Source organism: Homo sapiens, chromosome 11, assembly GCF_000001405.40.
Source record: "Homo sapiens chromosome 11, GRCh38.p14 Primary Assembly".
NCBI lineage: Eukaryota > Metazoa > Chordata > Mammalia > Primates > Hominidae > Homo > Homo sapiens.
In genome coordinates this window covers 8,304,076-8,321,715 of record NC_000011.10, presented here as the reverse complement: position 1 = coordinate 8,321,715, position 17,640 = coordinate 8,304,076, and the positions used below count along the sequence as shown (strand labels likewise).

The following is a 17,640-nucleotide window of genomic DNA, read 5'->3' as shown; positions in this document are numbered from 1 at the left end:
GTGTTTATCTAATTTCTGATTATAATACTAGATTCATTCTCCGATTTTGGAGAAAAAGTGCATGCACATGCACACTATACAAAATATGCACCCTGTGTCACATCCACAAGGGAGCACATGCATGCAGTCTCAAAAGGACATGACACACACACACCACCCAGCTGTGTATACATGTACACACAGGGGCTGGAGAAGGGACAGGGCAGCTGTCGTCACAGTCACCACTCAGAGTGACTGTTCCTACCCACTCCTGCTAGGGTCCCACCCACCCTGGCTCCCCCAACCACACTTACCTGTTTGGCACTTGAATCTAACCTCACCCTGTTCCCTTGGGGACGTCATGCACCCTGATCTCACTCCCTCGATACCTGGACCCTCTAATCTCACCCCACTCTGCCTTTGTCTGACCCCATCCTCGCCTCCCCACTCCCAGTGACCCCACCCTGACTTCACACATCTTGACTCCCACCTTGACCTCATCCAACTCTGATTTTGTCCCCACTTTGATTATGGCCCCGCCTCGTACACAGCACGTGCTCAGGGCCATTTTCCACGCAGGCCTTTGAGGTGGGCTGCCCTTCCGGCGACCGTGAAAGAAGTGAGCCTGGCCCCGCGTCTCTGTTCTCTCCTCAGCTCTAAACATGATCACATTTTCTTCAGCTGCCTTCACTAATTTTGGAAAGAAAGTAGGATATAAATTAAATCAATAGGTAACTATATATACTCAAGTCTCCCCAATCATTACCAAAACCCACTTTTTTCATCTTTGTTTCCCCGACTGCCTCCCACACATAGGAACCCCTTCCGTTCCTGTCAGGTCTCTGCGGGCTACATGGCTGCCCTGGCTTCTGTGAGTTCTTTCCTGCTTGTGTTGCCTGACTCCCGCCCCGCCCCCCCTGCTGCCCCACCAACTTCTCCTCTCCTCCCTGCCTCACTGGCTGCTCCCCACTCTCCTCTTCCGCCATTGGCATCTGAAATGTTGATGTTCCCCGGGGCTCTAACGCAGACCCCTTCCTTGCATCAGACATGGCCCTCCCAATCTAGCCCATCCCACGGCTCCTCACACGGTTCAGCTGTGCACTGAAGCCCCCGCATCTCTGTCCCCAGCCCTGAGCTATCCCCTGGGCTCCACACCCTCGTAGCAAACAGATTCCAGACATTTTCACTTGGGAGATCCATGTTCAAAATGCAACCCATCACTTTCCTCCCACCCCAACTCACTGTCCTTGGTCCAAACTGCCCTTCCTCCCATATTCAGCATCCTGCCAAATGGCAATCCCATCGCACAGGTTTGTCTGGAAATTCTCCACAAGCTTGGCATCATGCTAGGCCCTCCACCTCTCTCTTTTTCTCTTCACTCAAGCTCAACAGTCATGAGGTCCTGTTCATTTCGCTTCCTTAAAGAGCCTGTTGGATCTGGTTCCCCTTTTCCACTGCCTTCGTCACCCTGGCCCAGCCACCCTTGGCTCATCCAGAAGACTAGCTGGAAGCATTTCCTGTCTGTTCTATCTCTCCTCCACATTTCCCCAACCCAGAGCAACCTTTCTAAGACAGAAAGCACATCATGTCTTTGAACCGCGTGGAACCTTCAATGTATTCCCACTGCCTGCAGAAGAAAGTGAAGGATCTTTACCATGCCATTCCAGTCTCTTCACAAAGTGGCTCCTGCCCACTATTTCTTCTTCCTGTGCCTTCCACCACCTCTGTAGCTCTGCCCCAGCCACCCTACTTCCCATCTCACCACACTCCCAACAGGCCACTCCTTCATGCCTTTGAGGATTTATCATTTTATGAGCCTGTTTTGTTCCAAGCACTGTGCTAGGAACTGGGGGTGCAGTGGTGAAAATCCAAGGGCTCTGCCCAAGGAGCTCACATTCCACTGGGGGAGACAGACAGGAGGACAGGCAAGGACAGAATAAAGTTGGGAGGGGGGTGGTGCTACTGAAGACATTAACTCAGAATGTGAGGAATCCAGAGCTGCTTTAGACGTGGGTGTCAAATGCAATGGAGAGGGAGGAGTGGATTTGGGGAGGCCAGTCTAGAGCTACTGCAGTGACCTAGGAGAGAAATCATGGTGCCTGGCAGGAGAGGAGGCAATGGGAATGGAAGGATCTTCAGAAAGTGGAACAGGCAAGACCAGATGACTAGTTCATTGTTGGGGGAGAGAGAGGAGTCCAGGACCATCCCAGCGTTTCTGCCTCAGGCAATTGAGGTGATGGCAGTCCCGTTCACGAAGGGAAAGTCGAGGGGGTGGGAACAGAGGTGGGCCTCAGCTCTGCCCTATGTCCTTGGTTTCTGTTGCTATTGTTTTAGCTAACAGTCATGGGTACATACTAGAGCCAAGCCAGGGCTACGTGTTTTGCCTGCTTTATCTGATGGAATCCTCACAATACAACGAATATCTCCATTTTATAGATGGGACTGCTGAGGCTCTAGAAAGTTAACTAATCTGCCTAGGTCCACATAGCTGGGCAATGAAAGAGTGAGGATGACAGCCCAGGCCTGGCTGACTCTGAAGACCCCCCTCTCTTACCAGTTGCATTATATCACCTCCCTGGATGGTAGCCCCTGCCTGCGGGTGTGAGGTTTCGTGGGGCTGCACTGGTCTTGCATCCAGGGCTACTCATTGGAGTTTTCACCTCCATTCACTGCTCCCAGCTCCTAGCTGGAGCTTGCTCTTCTCCCACATGGCTCTGGATTCGTGCAGGGACAGGCTTAAATGCTGGGGGCTCAGCTTGGTGCCTGGTGGCAACTCGTGATGAAGGGCAGGAATCCAGAGTTGGGGCAGTGATCTGACTTCTGTTTACATGTCTCAGAGCCAAGAGCTGTGCCCACCCAGGACTCTCCTCTCCCACCATCACCTCCCTTCCACTCTCTGAGCAGGGCCTGTGGCACAGAGGGCAAGGTGCTTTGCAGAACTTGTGGAGGCTAGGTTGGGAGAGCTGGCCCTGTGGAGTGGACACACAAGGCAGGCAGGGGGCGCCACAGACCCTGTGGGCCCTCCAGGGCGAATGGACCACGCCTGTAAGGCTGCACCTGATGCGCTCCCCTGAGCATCAGGCTCTGGAAAATCAATACCAATTTCCACTTTCAGTGCCCAGCGACACTCTTTCATCACATTTCACGCTTCCTCTGCATTGTTGGGACTGAGACAGTTCTCTGGCCACGGCCCCAACCCTAATCTCTGCGCTGGCTGATATGCCCAGTGAACACGTGGTCCTTGAACCTGTGGTCTGTTTCTCTACCTTGGATCTTGGGGTCGCCCACATGCCTGTCATGTCACCCGTAGACACACCCATCCCTACCTCTCCTTACACACATGCTTGACCCTCTGGGAATGAGGTTTTCAAGTGACCCACATTTTCCAGATAGTGTAATGTGTGGCCATTGAAGCACCAACAGTTTATCACTTAACCCTTTGGATGAAAATCATCCCCAGAAGTTTCTAGATCTCCCTTTACATAAAAAAAAACCTATACCTTTATTTCTTTTTATTAAAATAATAAATATGCATTATACAAAATTTGGCAACTGTAGGCCATTATGAGGAGAAACCATTTCATTCAGGAGTCATTAATGAAGAAGAAAGGGTACACAGGTGTGCATGCACATAGGGTCTGTAAGGATTTGCGTGCGTCCACTAAGAGGGGGATATATGTTTATTACAGCTCAAACACCACCTCCTCAGAGAAGGAAGGAGACCCCATGTCTCCAATCAATTTCTGTTTTGTACCCCTTACTATTTTCTTCATAGCAGTTATCCCGCTCCAAAATTCTCTGACTTCTTAGTTAACTATCTTGCAGAGCTGTGACATTGCACAGCTTCAAGGAATGCTGTTCGCATTACATTCTTCATGCAGGGTGCACTGCTGTCTCAGAGTTGTGCAGTGTGCAACTGTGTGACCATACACAGCAGCCTTGCGCCGTCTTTCATTAAAGTGTAAACTCCATGAGAACAGGGAACTTGATCCACAGTGAAAACGCCTTTGCAAAATTATGACTGAGGCAGCAAAAGAGATGTGACCTAACCGACTCCATCTTGGTTCTAACCTTTTAGCTGTCCTTGTTCCTTCCTGGGCGTAAGCCAATCTAACTTTGGAAGGAACTTAGTTTACAGTTTATTGTTTAAAACAAAGATGATAACAGCTCTTTCCCAAAATAAACCTCCTTCTTGCCTGGGACTAGACTGCCTTTGTAGGACTAACAAATTAGCCACAAGATTAGAAATTATGGTTTAGGAGTCATGAAACTGGAAGCTACAAGATTCTGACCCTCCCTAAATGGCTTCTAAGATCAGTGCTTGAGATATTTTGCAGACCTGCACTTGATGGATCAGCTGGCACCATCCAGATGGATAAACTTGTGGCCCCCATCCAGGAACTGAGTCAGTGCAAGAGGACAACTTCAACTTCCCGTGATTTCATCTCCTGCATAACCAATCAGCACTCCCGGCTCTTTGGCTTCCCCCCACCCACCAAGTTGTCCTTAAAAACTCTGATCCCATAATGCTTGGGGAGACTGATTTGAGTAATAATAAAAGTCTGGTCTCCCACTCAGCCGGCTCTGCGTGAATTACTCTTTCTCTATTGCAATTTCCCTGTCTTGATGAATCGGCTCTGGCTAGGTAGTAGGCAAGGTGAACCCCTTGGGTGGTTACAACAGTGCCTAGTATATAGTAGGTGCCTAACGTACAAAGTGTTTGTTGAGTGAATGAACAAACACAGTTCTGCCTAAGGATATAGCTTCTCATAGCCTCTATCTGGTCCCTCTCCTAGCTCCAACTCAACTGAGAATCAGGCAGGAAGCAAAAGGCTCTGATCTTACTTTGCGGACAGTTCCCATGCTCTCAGAGTCTATTTCATCTTCTTTCTCAAAACATTTGTAAGGTTTGGTTTTCTAGTCTTCGTGCTCCAAAGTTGATTTCCTGGTCTCCAGCTCCCTAAAGATTAGGAATAGCATGAGGAAGTGAGGGTGCTGTGGACAGACACCCCAACTATAGCCTGACATTAAGAGAAGGGACAGAGACACAGCACGCATCCAACCACAGAGCTCAGGAAACGCGGTGCTGGGGCATTCTGCAGCCATGATAGCCTCAAAGTGCATCAATATATTATATCTCCAAACACAGCGGCGACCTTGGCTATCACAAGAAGATTAAATCCTGTCTAGAGTGCTCTCTTTAGGAAGCATGGGAGGCATATGGTATTCATTTTTTATTCAGTTCTTTCAAGTGGCTCCTCACCCCAGCCATTCTGTACACTCTGGCCTATGGGCCCACACGAACCTATTTTGAAGACGAGAGGAACACAGCCGTGTTGTCTCCAGTGGTTTAGCTGATCTGGAAAGCAGAATCGTGGTTCTGCTCTCCCCTGTCCCCTGCACCCTCCACACCAGATTTTCTGCTGTTTCTCACCCACCCTGGCTCCCCAGGGAGTGGATTCTGGTGCACCTAAAGCAGATCAGCCTTTGCAACAATGATTAATTGACACCAGCAGTTTAGGGATGCTTATTTGCACACAGTTATGAAGTGTCACAATATGTCTCAAATGCAAGCGGCTTCTCTTAGAAGCAGAACGGCAGAGCGGGAAGCGCCAGCAATATTTCCTTAAAAGTTCATCGTAGGCAATGGGGTAGGGTGGGAAGCTAAACAAATCCGGGCAATAATGGAAATGTAGCATGAAATTGCTTCTGTAAACAACAACCATTCATTATTTGAACATTTTTCATAAGCGAGCAGGCAGGGAGAGGGACGGGGCAGCGGGTGGGAGGGAGGGGGCTGCAGCAGACAGGGCCCGTGTACCCACTGGAGTTTCTGGGCAGAGCTTTCTTGGGGCTCCCCGTGCCCATCTGTCTTCAGAAAAATGCCGAGGCCAGGCTCCGTTCTGCCCAGCGCCTGCCGTCAGGTTCCCTTTCTTCATTAAGCGGGATTGGCGCAGGCAGAAGGAATGTATGATTTAAGGAGGAAAGAGAGACCCACTACTTAATGTTGATTTGGCGGAGTGTATAACCCCGGAGAGAAATGTAAATAGCAGCCTGCAATAACATGACAGCCCACTAATCATATTTACAAACGATATTAAATCTGTCCGCACGCAGGCCTGCCTGCGGATTGGCCCGGCCGTAATTGTCATTGTAACCAGTGCCGGCTTATGGGAGGATTTAACTGCAGTGATATAAGGTGAGTCGCGGGCTTATTATGACTTTATTATTACCCGGTTTATGTTTATTAAAACAATTTGTCATGCAGAGCAGGAATGGAGGGATGGGAGCATTAAATCGTGCCGTACTCAACCTGGAGAGATGACTCCAGGGATGGATGGCAGCAGGCCCCGAGCCTCTACTCGGTGGCTTCTGGAGCTGTGGACCCGTCAGCACTGGCCACCCGGAGCCGTGGCCTGGCTGAGGAAGGCCACTCTAGCAAAACCTCAGAGCCGGGCAACACACAGCTGAAAGGCGATTCTGTGGCCCTAACTGCCTTTCAAATAGGAGTTGACTCAGAACAGTGATGGGAAGGACGAGGCCCCGAGTTATTGCTGGTGTTTGCAGGGATGGCCGTGAGGGCCACACCTGGGGCTCCTCTAGATGGCTGGGAAAGGAGCCAAGCCTTGCAAGTCTCCGAGACAGCCTGCAGAGGCTCAGCACAAAAGGTCTTGGAAGAAGTTTAATAAAAGCTGTTTTATTTTCTCTGGGGGTCCTTATTGGTTATTATCAAATTTATTTCATCCCCAATCTTTGTTCTTTGGCAAGGCAGAGAAAAGGGAAGGTGGTGGTGGGGGGGCGCTGAGAGGAATAGATCCATACGACTAGTAAATAATACTCCCTTTCCCCAATCCAATTACCTAAGGCAGAGAGGCTCCAGGAGGTTGGAGGGCTGAAGTAGCAGCTCCAGGTGCAACTGGGGCTGTAGCCTTGTGTGCAGACATCACAATCTCAGACACCTGCTCTTGCTGCCAACCCCAGGGAAGGCCCCACATGCGAGGGATGGAGGGGCAGGAAGCCAACCAGAACTGGGTCTGTCACAAAAGCTTCAGAAATGTGACCCTTGGTCAGAGTGCCCTAGAGAAGCTAGAGCCAAACTGTGGCAAGGCCAGTCTTCATGGGAGAGGTGGCTGCCTCTTAGCTAAAAATGTCCCCCTCTCTTCCGGGCCTCCACTAGTCCTTTCGGTGCCTCTGTATTACAGTACACACACACACACACACACACACACACATACACACACACACACACACAAACACACACACACACACACACACAGTTCCTCTGTGTATTACAGTGTATCAAATACAGCAGCATTGTATGTAATATATTTACATCTATATTACACAGTAATATACATACAATGCCTCTGTGTATGTTAGACCATGTGTGCCCAGGGACTGGTGAGAACAAAGTCTGGATTCCATTCTTCATTTGCCCCCTTGTGTAGTGCACAACCTACACAGCTGTACATGATGGCCCTACTCCCTGCCAGCAGCCTCATGGCCTGAAATGCGACTATTTCAGGAACTCACAAACCACATAATGTTTCCAAAGCCATTAGTGTCCTGGGCAGCAAAGTAGAGGGTCTCTGGAGGGCACAGTGGGGAATGAGAAAGGATGTTCCCATCATCACCATCTGCCACGATGTATTTCTCAGGTCTTGAGCCTCATGGTGGGTGAGTGAAGGATGGGACAGACAAACTGTGCAGCCTCCTTTCCGAGACTCTGAGCAGTGCTGCCTATGGGATGTGATTCTGGGTGGTCCCAGCAAGGCATGCTATGGGACATGGTGCCACCTCTCCCCAGGGGTGTGGCTACCTGGCTCCCAGTGGCTGCCTCAGTGGCAGGGTGTCTCTGTGGGGGTCACCACATTCCTGTGCTCTGCCTTTTCTCTGCCCAGCCAAGAGGGTCTGATTGGGCTTCCTAAGTCTGGCCTTTTGGGCACTGGAAGTGACCTGCTCAGCTGGAGCCCCACCTTCCCTCTGGGTGCCCTCCCAGCTCACATGCTCCCTGTGGTGGGGAACTCTCTCCCTCCAGAGATGCCTCTCTGGCTGTTGGAAGCCTTTCCCGGGACACCCCCACTGCACCCAGGGAGGACCCTGACCACGAGGCCCATCCCCGCGGCTCCCCTGCAGCTGCTCTTCCGTGTGGTGCTTCTGCAGGGGGCTCTGGCCCCCTCCCTGTGGGAGTCCTGTCTCCTGGTGCCCTGGGGTCCCCACTGGAGAGTATTTCCCTGCCGACAATGTCCCAGGCTTGTGCTCTCCTGTGAGTACAGCCTAGACAGGGGCTGAGTTGGGCCCCCACCCCCAGAGCCTGACCCTGGGGGACTTTAGCTAATTGTGGGCCCCGCTTTCTGGGCCTGGGGACACCTGTGGGCCTTGGGTTCCCTTTGTCTCACTTAAGAAAGGAGTCACGAGCAGTGGTTCAGAGAGGAACAATAAGCCTTTATTGCGGCTGCCCTTCTCCACAAACGCTCAACCTGCTGGCCAGCGGAGAGCCGTGCTGGCAAATTAAAAGTCTCTAAACTTTCTTTATGTCTCCTTGGATGCTCCAGCAGCTTTAACGCTGAACTGGCTGGCCTGGCTGAGAGACAAAGAGGCCAAGCTGGGGTCACGGCCAAGGCCGTAGGACAGGGAGGATCTCACTGAATGGTCCCCCACTGGCCCGTGGATGCAGATGGGGCGGGGTGGGGTGGAGCAGGTGAGGGTCTTGGCTGTGGTGCTAGGGGTCTGGGGCCCATAGGCTTGGGAAGGCCTCTTGGGGCAGTTGGCTGGACAGGGGTATGGGGTGCTGCTTCCTAAGTCTCCATTGTCTATGGATGGCAGACATGGAGGCTCCTCTAGCTGCCTCTGAAGTCCTCTCTTAAGGAAAGCACAGCCTGAAACCAGGGGCAAAGGAAGCCTGTTCTAGACCCCAGAGAGCATTAGCTCCCTTACCACCACTCTCCTGGGTGAGTCCTGAGACTGGGAGGTCACTAGAAGAGGCTGGAGGACCAGGTCTGTGCTACCACAGATGAGCACACTGCCCCTGCCACCTCCCACCAAAAACTTTGGCTCACCAGGGCCGGGTTGAGAAGGTGAGGCTGGGACAGCCCCTGTTAACCCTTGTGGTCCCGGCATTATCCACAGCACCTCTCTTCACCCTCCAGAGTGCCAGGGTTTCTTGTTGTGTGCCAGCTGGGTGCTGGGCCATGCCATCTTTGCAGGACAGCTGAGTTACAGCATCAGCAGGGAGTCACCTGGGCCAAGAAATGTCACCCCTCACCCCACAAAAAACGTGCCAGGATTTGCAGAATAGAGAGGAACTCTGTGGGGGTGTACTGACTTGGAGGGGGCATAAAGGAGCCTTCTGGAATGCTTGAAGTGACCGAGACCTTGATCTGGGTGGTGATTCCATGGGTGAGCACATACATAACAAGCCATCGACTCGCACGCTCTGCTGTATGTATATTGGACATTACGGTGATGAAAAGCAAATAGACATAGGCCCTGCCCTGAAGTACGAATGAATCCCAGCTCTCCTACTTCCCAGCTGGATGACTTTGGGCATGTCACCCAACATCTCTGAGGCTCTGGTCTTCATCTACAAATGGGGAGAACATCACCTACTTCTTTCCCACTAACCTGAGCCCTCCATGAGAACAGAGACTGCACCTGACTCTCCTCTGTGTCCTCCTTGACCCCTGCGAAGGGGCTGGCTCAAGAAATTGCCGATATAATAAGAGCCTCCTCCAGGTCAGAGGGACCTCACAGCTCCCCAGGAAAACATCTCACCTTATTTTACCAAAATCCTAGTAATAACATCTCTCTTGGTGCCTCCTCACATCCCTCCAACTACTCTTCCATAAGGGGCTTGGGGTTACCTCTTTCTTCCTTGGAGAAGTGGGGGAAAAACTAGGGGACTGAGGCTGCGGCAGGGCCTGGAGCCCTTGGGGGTGTTGGGCCAGCAGGGCTTGGTTTGGAGAGGGGCCAGAGAGGGGTTTGCTTTCCTTGGCAGGGGACGGATGGGGTAGAAGAGTGTACCTAGGACAAGGGCCCAGCAGTGAGACCTTTGCTGGGACTGATTCTCTGGGACAAAAGAGGACTTGGGTTTAGGTCATGGCTGAGGAGGATGTTTCCAGCACTGTGCACACCCGGGACATGGCCCCTGCCCGCCAGCACACCCCGTGTCTCCCAGGCCCCATCAGGCTGGACGGCCCAGGCTCCTCTTGGGGGAAGGGCCCCTGCCCTCCATCCCTCTATCTGATTGTCTGCGAGGCTAGTTCTTGGCAATTTCTTGCTCCGTTTCTTTAATCCCGGATTCTCTTCAAGCGCAGAAGGAAGAGGAAAAAGCCAAAGGCCGAGGTGGAGAATAGGGAGGGGGATGTGGGGGATATGGGGGAGGTATGAAAAGAGATGAAGGAGGTCACTCCAGCCTGAGGCACCCAGGTTTCATCCTAATGGGGACAGCAAGTGCCCTTGAGGGTCCAGAAGGGAGCTGGAGCCCCAGGCTGGGGCTGCGTCAGTCCTGCTCTTCAGCCTCTCTAGTGCTGGGAGGTCGGTGTAAATGGTTTGTGTGCTGACACTGCAGGGCTACAGTCATTTCTATAGGCCAAGAACAGAGCCCTGGGGTGAAGGTACTGGCACCTCACCTTAGTTCAGCAACCTCCTAGGCCCTGTGCTGAGACTCAGGCAAGACTCGGGCCAGGGCTCAGACACAGGCTAGGCCAGTGCTGAGGCGTGCAGGCTCCGGAATAGCATCTTCCCCACTGGCTGCTGAGAGCTGGGGGCCCAGGAGGGGCAGGGAGGGCCCTGAGAGGTCAGCTGAGCCAGCACACCTGCGCTCCTCCCGTGCCTTGCCCTGCCTCCCCGCTCAGGCCTCAGAAGCCTTTCTGCTTCCAGAGAAGCAGGGGCGGTGAGGGTCTGTGGCACAAGGGCGAGCCCTGGAGAATGGGGCTTGTGTGGCGTCTGCAGCTTCTTAGAGGAAAAACCTATTGAGAAGCTCAAATCATGGCAGTAATTAGGCTACTTATTTTGTAAAAGTCCAAATTAAATGGAAAATCTGGTGCTAATGAGAATGTTCCATTTTCTCCTTTTATTAAATCTAGCTCTGTGCCTTCTAAGAGTTTGGGAATAGCCAGCCCCTGATGTCTTTCTCACAGCCAGTTCATATCCTCTGATTGTGGAGTTGCTGAGACAGAACACACTCACAGGGCCTCCAGTTACCGGCTCAGTTGAAAAATGTCCTTCATAAGGCAGCAGCATTAACCCACCCCCAGCCACCCACACCTCCAGCCCTTCCCCCCATCTCCACCAACCCTCTCTGGCCTATCACCATCAGCTGCGTGGGCCCCCAGAAACCCAGACCCAACAGGGAGGGGCTGGTGTGGGTCCAGGAAAGCTGGGCTTCTGGTCTACCCCTTCTGGAGCCCAGCTTCTTCTCTAAAGAGCCTGGGACCCTACCACTTCCAGCTGCCTGCCTCCTGACAACAGTCCCAGGGAGGCTGAAGCCCACAACCTTCTGATTAGACTTGCACTTAGATCCCATAATTACCAATTAGGGGCTTCAGGCAATGCAGTTTGCCTCTCTGGGCTTCAGGTCCTCACCTGTCAATTGGGGGTAGTGCTACTATTAGCCTCGTAGAGTGTTGTGAGTGTGAGTGGAGAGAAGGCATTGCAGAGCACCTGACACACAGCAGGGTGCAGCACCTGTCTATGGCCAGGTCCCTCTGAAGCCTAGTCTCTAGCGAGAGTAGGGATATGCATTCTGTCACTCTAGTCTTTCCAGGATTTCCTCTGGAAGGTTTGGCGGGGGTGGGAAGGGAGGAACTAGAGGAGGAGAATGTCTTGGGATACACCCCCATGCCAGAGTAGGTATTGGGAGGAACAGCCTATCTGGTCCTGGCCAGTAGGATGCCTGGGCTTGGGAACCTGGCTGTCAAGGATAGGGAGGTCAGGGGGTGTATGCGAAAAATCATCCCATTCAAACAAAGAGATAGGAACAGACACATAGACAGACACACACACACAGGCTCAGTCCCAGCCCTCTTCAATGGGGCTGTCGAGGCCTTGGCAATGGGTCCTCAAGGAGACCTGCAGCTTGAAGCATAAGCCACACTTAGAATCTGCATTTCAATTCAATTCCCGGTTAGTCTACCCATAAGGGTTTACCAAGAACCTCAAGCGTTTCTAACACGAGGCTAGAAGCTGGGGAGAGAGCAAAGCCACAGCCACCACAGAATAGGCCCATCAGACTCAGGCTCCTCGTCTTGGTGATGCACATCCTCACCTGAAACTCAGATGTGAAACGTGACTGTCGCTTGACTCTTCTCCCTTCATCATCCCGTCCTTCATTACCCCCATCTATGGTGTCGACTTCTTTCTTAGTTTCCTACCTGATCATGCCCTGATCCCTGCCCCACAAGGCTTCCCTTCCTGCTATCTCATTTCAGCCTCCTCACCAGGATTATTGTAACAGTCTTAGCACTCCAGCCCTCTCTCCTGCAGGCCCCAGAGGGAGCCTCCTAAAATGAGCATTTGAATTTGTCACCCTCTGCTTCAATCTCTCCAATCACTGTAAAGCCTCTGTTATGTTCAGCATAAAATAAAACTTGGTTGTCCACGCATTCTGCATCTCTGTCACCTCCCCAGCCTACTTCTTTTCTGATCATGTCCCCCTTCAGCCCACTCCCCAGTCACACCAAAGAGCCTGTGGTTTCTCAAATGCTAAGTGACCTCTCATACTGCAGGTGGACTCCAGTTGCCTTTGCCTTCTTAGGATTTTTTCTCACTTCTGGGAACAGAATCCTTCTCTCATGTGAGGAGCCAGTTCTATGTGGTTTGGATAAGATGGGCAGGTGATCTAGTCTGTGATCTAGAACAACAAGAACACCTTATTCTTCTAGGGACAATGATTAATGTAGGAATGTGGACATGGCCCAAACAGGACCTGTTAGAATCTTCTCTGGGAATTTTGGCTTGAACTTACAAAAGAGAGCACCACTTACTTGTAATGGTAAGCCAACAGGAAGTGAGTCTGAGGTTTTTGAGGACCATCTGATTCACTGTGTAGAGAAAGTCTATCTGATAGATATAGAAAGAGATAGAGGCCAGGCACAGTGGCTCACACCTGTAATCCCAGCACTTTGGGTGGCCAAGGCAGGAGGATCGCTTGAGCCCAGGAGTTCAAGACCAGCCTGGGCAACATGCTGAGACCCCCATCTCTATTTTCTAAAATTAAAAAAAAAAGAGATTAAAGCTGGCAATTAATTAAGCTTCTGGATCCAGTCTTGCCTGAAGTCATATCACATGGACTGTTCACTTATGTAAATCTTTTTTAACTTTTTTTTTTTTTGGTCTAAGCTAGTTTGAAATCTTGACTAAGACAAGGCTGAATTGATCTACAGTTGATGTTCACACTGATGGCAATTCTCATCTCCCTTGTCTTATTGGAAAATAAGTCAAATCATTTTAAAATTCATTTCAACTCTCAACTCCTTTAAGAAGTCTCTTTTTCAACAACATGATTGTGATGTGATACCCCTACTCCACAGCTTAATTCCTACTGTGGCAATTACCATTTCTGCAACCAAATATGATCATTTTGATGGGAGGACTCCTGTCTAATTCAACTCTATATTCTCTGTACCCAGCACATGACCAGACACCAGGCAGAGGATAGAAAATACGATTCCATTAACATAAAGATGAAAAACAGTCAAAACTCATCAACACTGTTTAGGAACACATACACAAGTGGTAAAACAGTAAGAACAAAGCACAAAAATGAGTACCCTAAAGATAGGGCGAGGGATGATTAGATTCTCATAGAAGTTTGCAACCTAGATCCCTCACATGCACAGTCCACAATAGGGTTCGAGATCCCGTGAGACTCTAATGCCGCGCTGATCTGACAGGAGGCAGAGCTCACTGGCAGTAATGCTCACTGGCCCACCGCTCACCTCCTGCCGTGCGGCCTGGTTCCTAACAGACCACAGACTGGTACTGGACCATGGCCTAGGGGTTGGGGACCTCTGCCCTAAGAGTCAGAGTGGTGGATACCTCTTCCTAGGGAACAGGAAGAGAATACAGCTGGAAAGGGGTATACATAAGGTTTCTGAGATCCTGGAAATGTACTGAGTTTTGTTGTTGTTGTTGTTGAGACAGTGCCTCGCTCTGTCACCCAGGCTGGAGGTGCGGTGGCATGATCTCGGCTCACTGCAAGCTCCACCTCCTGGGTTCACGCCATTCTCCTGCCTCAGCCTCCCGAGTAGCTGGGACTACAGGCACCCGCCACCACACCTGGCTAATTTTTTTTTTTTTTTGTATTTTTAGTATAGACGGGGTTTCACTGTGTTAGCCAGGATAGTCTCGATCTCCTGACCTCGTGACCCACCCATCTCAGCCTCCCAAAGTGCTGGGATTACAGGCGTGAGCCACTGCGCCCGGCCAAAATGTACTGTTTTTTAATCTGGGTGACAGTTACATAGATGTTTACGGTATATTTCTTTAAATTCTGTGTATTAACATATTCTTTTATACATATTATATAGTTCACTACAATAAAGAAAATAAGTGAGGTGCTTTGGACCCAATTTTTTAAATTGTTTTATAACTTTATTGCACTGAAGTCATAGAATCTGTCACTAATATATCAAATTTTTATTATCTGTTAACGCTTCCTTTGTGTCCTATTATATAGTCAGTTTTTATTTATTTATTTATCTATTTATTTTGAGATGGAGTCTCACTCTGTCGCCCAGACTGGAGTACAGTGGCACGATCTTGGCTCATTGCAACCTCTGTCTCCCGTGTTCGAGAGATTCTCCTGCCTCAGCCTCCCAAGTAACTAGGATTACAGGCCCCTGCCACCATGGCCATCTAATTTTTTTTTTTTTTTTTAGACAGAGTCTTGCTCTTGTTGCCCAGGCTGGAGTGCAGTGGCGCCATCTCGGCTCACTGCAACCTCCACCTCCTGGGTTCAAGCGATTCTCCTGCCTCAGCCTCCGGAGTAGCTGGGATTAGAGGCATGCACCACCATTCTCAACTAATTTTGTATTTTTAATAGAGACCAGGCTTCTCCATGTTGCCCAGGCTGGTCTCAAACTCCCGACCTCAGGTGATCCGCCCACCTCAGCCTCCCAAAGTGCTGGGATTACAGGCATGAGCCACCGCGCCTGGCAAGTTTTTAAATGTTCCACTTGAAAACGAAGTGTACTCTTTAATTATTGGAAACAAGATTTTATATATGGACATCAAACAAATGTTAATAATTTTATCTGTTTCATCAATTTCTGGAAAAGGAGTGTTAAAATTTCTCATTACAAATGTAGGTTTGTCAGTTTCTCCCACAAGTCTGTCAATTTTGCTATGTATTTTGCTTAATATCCTCTGTCAATTTTCCCTGATAATCCTGTCATCTTTAAGGAGGTTATAGTATTATGAGCAATCAGGTTCAGCTTCACTATAGATTTCTATTCAATTGTTCTTCTTGTCAGTGAACAGTCACCCTCTTTAAATCTCAAGTTTTTTAAAACCATGACATCTCTTCTGGTTGCTATTAATGTCACTATATCTCATTTCCTTTGATTATTAGTATTTATGATCTTTCCCTATCCTTCTACTTTTAAGCTTTTTGTATAATTATGTTTTAACTATTAGGTCAGTTATAAACAACTTATAACTGGATTTTAAAAATCTTATCTGGGAATATCTCCGAACAAATGGGTCTAAGTCATTTAAATTTATTGTGATTACTGATAAAATTGGAGTTTTTAATACCACCTTTTAAAATTTTTACCATGTATTTTTCTGTTTCTTCCCCTTTCCTACATTCAATTGGATTTATTGGGTTTTTTTATTACCTTTTTTCTTCTCTCTACAGCTTTGGGTGTTACAACCTTTTTAAAAGTCTAAATTTAATCAATATCTTTATTCGCCTCCTATAATACAAAGATCTTTAAATGTTTTAACTCCAATCCTCCTTCCCATCTTCTTGCTATCATTATAAAATATTCTAGGCTGGGTGAGGTGGCTCACTCCTGTAATTCCAGCACTTTGGGAGGCCAAGGTGGGTGGATCACGTGAGGTCAGGAGTTCAAGACCAGCCTGACCAATATGGTGAAACCCGTCTCTACTAAAAATACAAAAATTAGCTGGGCATGGTGGCATGCACCTCTAATCCCAGTTACTTGGAAGGCTGAGACAACAGAATTGCTTGAATATGGGAGCCAGAGGTTGCAGTGAACTGAGACTGCACCATTGCACTCCAGCCTGGGCAACAGAGTGAGACTCCATCTCAAAAAAATAATAATAAATTCAAAATAAATTAATAAATTAATAAATTAAATATTTCTGCTTTACACTGCTTTTAACTCTTTCAAAAAATGTCTTTTTTGTAGTCAATGCTTATTTAGATTAATGAAATGTGTTTTCTAATTTATTTGTTCATCATTCCTTTTGGTTTCAATTTCCTTCTTAGTAAGGTACACCCCTTATCTTTTAATTTACAGAGAACTTTGAATAGTAAACTCTCTGGATTTTTCTCATGTTTATCTTGCCTTTTCTTCAAATAAATTATAAATTACCTGTTATTTTCTTTTGGTACTTCATGGATGTTATTCCACTGTCTTCTGGAATCAATTTTGTTGCTGAGAAGTCTGCTGCCAGCCCAACTGTTTTGCTTTTTTGGCATTCTGCTGCCCCTAGTTGCTTTTGTCTTTTATTTGATGTTTTGAAGTTTTCTCATAATGTGTGTAGTATGAATTTGTTTTCTTTATCCCTCTCATGATTTAAGGGATTTAATCAATTTGAAGACTCAACTCTTTCTTCAGTTACGGAAAATTCTTAGGCATTTTCTCTTCTAATATGCCTTCTCCCATTCTTTCTTTTCTCTTCTTTTGAAACTAGTGTCAGAAATATTTGAACCATCTTATTTCTGCTGATTCTTCCTTGTGGTGTCTTATTTCCTTGTGTCATTTGTAAATTTTTATTGAGCTTGTTTTTAGCAGGGGTTGTGCTTTTATTAGAGTCCCACGTGCTATAGTTGTCAAAATATTCCTTCTGAGCAGTTTCATGATTGCTGTTGCTGGGTTCCCTAGACCAATTCTTTTTTTTTTTTTTTTTTTGAGACGGAGTCTCGCTCTGTCGCCCAGGCCGGACTGCGGACTGCAGTGGCGCAATCTCGGCTCACTGCAAGCTCCGCTTCCCGGGTTCACGCCATTCTCCTGCCTCAGCCGACCAATTCTTATTCTCTCAGCTTGTGGACCCTTTCACACAGGTAGTATACATTCGAATTTTATACCTGCTTCTGTCCCATTCCCAAGGTTTCCATTTCTCATGGACTATCTATTTATTTATTTTTGAGATGGAGTTTCGCTCTTGTTGCCCAGGCTGGAGTGCAATGGCGCAATCTCAGTTCACTGAAACCTCCGCCTCCCAGGTTCAAGTGATTCTCCTGCCTCAGCCTCTTGAGTAGTTGGGATTACAGGCAAGCACCACCACACCTGGCTATTTTGGGGTTTTTTTTGGTGGAGATAGGGTTTCTCCATATTGGTCAGGCTGGTCTTGAACTCTCGACCTCAGGTGATCCACCCACCTCAGCCTCCCAAAGTGCTGGGATTACAGGTGTGAGCCACCACACCTGGCCTCTCATGGACTTTTTCCCCATTCATTGCTGCAGAC

The 17,640-nt window shown here is 48.8% G+C and overlaps 1 annotated feature.

Moving 5' to 3' along the window:
• Positions 2,853-3,353: an enhancer, noted in NCBI's record as "H3K4me1 hESC enhancer chr11:8339910-8340410 (GRCh37/hg19 assembly coordinates)". NCBI's record gives its function as "activates a minimal SCP1, AML or CMV promoter by ChIP-STARR-seq in naive H9 embryonic stem cells {active_cell/tissue: H9 hESC(naive)}" and the evidence as "EXISTENCE:reporter gene assay evidence [ECO:0000049][PMID:30033119]".